Source organism: Homo sapiens, chromosome 5 (assembly GCF_000001405.40).
Source record: "Homo sapiens chromosome 5, GRCh38.p14 Primary Assembly".
In the NCBI taxonomy this organism is placed as follows: Eukaryota; Metazoa; Chordata; class Mammalia; order Primates; family Hominidae; genus Homo; species Homo sapiens.
Genome location: NC_000005.10, coordinates 83851394 through 83854084, shown reverse-complemented (window position 1 = coordinate 83854084; position 2691 = coordinate 83851394). Strand labels below are relative to the sequence as shown.

The window sequence follows — 2691 nt, the reverse complement described above, 5'->3', positions numbered from 1 at the left end:
CTCCGTCTCAAAAAAAAAAAAAAAAAAAAAGAATTGCATTTTTTATTTAGTCATACTATCTTTCAACTAATTTTGGTTAAATTTACATTTCCCTAGAAAAGCATGTATACCATCTGTCTCATTTGCCTGTTTGATGGCTCTTATCCGTGCTAGAGTTTCCTATTTTTTTTATTTAATCCTATAAATGTATTAATGTATGAATTTTCCTCTGAGTGCTCCCTTGGCTAGATGCCATATGGCTTCCTTATGCTTATTGATTTGTAAATATTCTGTATTATAGTGGTGATTTCTACCTTAAGGCAATAAATACTAAGTAAAGTATTTTAATATTTCTAAACGATTATATTTTAAGGTTAATCTATTGTTGCAAATTTTTAATATTAAATAAAACAGTTTTTTAAGGTATATGACCTTAAGAAAAGGTCCTATAAAAAAGACCTATAAAATGTCTCTTTTCAGGAATGTATTAGCATGCTAATTAATGGGCACTGGAAAAAGACAAAGGTCTCATATCTTTTTATAAGGCATATGTTTAAATATATTTAGTATATTTAAACAAATCATATTCTTCAACTCAGAGCACAGGTATCATTACTTACATTTTACTCTTTTGTCAAATACCGCAAGATACTTTTGGATCCTTAACTTTTTGTTTTTTAATTCCTCCTTAACAGTTTTAGTTTATACACTTTCATAAAATTTTATTAGAGGATTTACTGTCATTAAATTTTGTGTGTAAATTATATAGCTTAATAATATAAGAAGAATGCTTTTATCTTATTTTGCACTTTTTGTTTTTTATTTATTGTCCAATATGATTGTATTCAATGCCTTCTTATAATTTGAATGTATTAGATATGCTTTTGTAATTGCTTTAATACTTAAACTTTTTGTGTTTCTTTAAGTATGCCATTGAATTTTGTTTTACTCTCTAATCGCTCCTATTTACATCTCTTATTATAATACAAATATTTTATCTTATTCTGTGTACTTGTTAAATAATTTCTATTTATTTTTAATAATGCTTTATTGATGTTTTATTTATTTTCTAATTTCTGCCATATGGGCTCTGATAGAGTCAAACAAATGTAGAAACAGTTGTTTTTATATTTTCTATTGTTTTATATCATATTCATCCTATTTTAAATTGTATTTTTTTTTAACATTTAAACATTATTTAACTTCTATGTTGAGTGAGATGCATTTATCACAAAGATAATCTATTTATACTACCCACAGATAAACATCAGAATTGTCCAGAAGCAACTGAAAGATTATGAAATGAAGAATTGTATCTATCCATTTCATCCTGAGTAGAAACGAAAAATAAAATAAGAAAAGAGAAAAGTAAAACCCAGGGAATAACTTGCATTCTCTTAACCACACAAGGAAGGTATATTCATTTTCTATTGTTGCTGTAAAAATAGCCATAATTGTATTGGCTTAATACAGCACAAATTTATAATCTTACAGTTTCTGTAGGTGAGAAGTCCTGTGAATAAAATTGACAGGAAAATGGATTAACAAGAGAAAAGCAAGCAGAACTCAGTTATTAACACATGCACCCGGAATACACCTGGGAGAAACTTAGAGGTGAGCAACTCAAAGGAGTGGTTAGAACTTGGGCTTACATAAACAATTTTAACAAAGAACAATACATTTGTAGAGAAGTGACAAAACAAAAGGCTTCAGGCTTCCAAGGTGGCAAACTGTCGGAGGGTAAATAGAAGGGGGAAACAAATAGAGTGAGGCTTGTCTGTAAAGGTCATCTTGGTGCCAACTTTCCGCTTTCTTCACGGACACAAAACTTCCTCTGGAGAGAGAGTTTACAACAGCCCTCATTTCTCAAAAGTTCTGTTTTGGTCAGATAAAGGAAGCCTTCTTTCTGCATCTGTTAAATCTTAAAAGCCTTCAACTCAAAATCATCCTTATGCCAAAGTGGCATATTTTGGAGTGCCATGTTCTGGGGAAGAATCTGCTTCCTTGCTCAGTTAGGCTGTTGACAGAATTCACTTCTTGTAATTGTACAACTGAGGTCCTGTTTCCTTGCTGACTGTCAGCTGAGAGCTGTTCTCAGCATCTGGATTTCACCCCCTTTCCTTGACTCATAGTCTTCTTCCTCTGTCTTCAAATCAGTAATGATTTGTTCTCACACTGCACTTCTCTGTAACTGACTGCAGCTGGAAGTTACCCCTCTTTTAAAGGCTCATGTGACTAGATTAGGCTCAAATGGATAAACCAAGATAATCTCTTCATCTCAAGGTGTACACCTGAATCACATCTGGACAGTACCTTTTCCACCTAATACAAATGTATGGATTCCAGAGATTAGGGTGTAGACATTTTCAGAGCTCTTATTCAGTCTACCACAAAAGGGCAGGCCAGAACATATTAGAAACCAGACCAGGCAGCACTAAAAGTTCTGACTTATTGCATTGATCTGACAAAAGAACCTTATCGTATTAAAATAAATGTTCAAAAGAAAAACCAGATGCAGGCCGGGTGCAGTGGCTCACGCCTATAATCCCAGCATTTTGGGAGGCCGAGGCAGGTGGATCACCTGAGGTCAGGAGTTAGAGACCAGCCTGGCCAACATGGTGAAACCCTATCTCTACTAAAAATACAAAAATTAACTGGGCGTGGTGGCAGGTGCCTGTAATCCCAGCTATTCAGGAGGCTGAGGCAGGAGAA

At 33.4% G+C, this 2691-nt stretch overlaps 1 annotated feature.

Moving 5' to 3' along the window:
• Positions 1961 to 2255: a silencer, noted in NCBI's record as "tiled region #15074; HepG2 Repressive non-DNase unmatched - State 24:Quies". NCBI's record gives its function as "represses a minimal TATA promoter and a strong SV40 promoter by Sharpr-MPRA in HepG2 cells {active_cell/tissue: HepG2}" and the evidence as "EXISTENCE:reporter gene assay evidence [ECO:0000049][PMID:27701403]".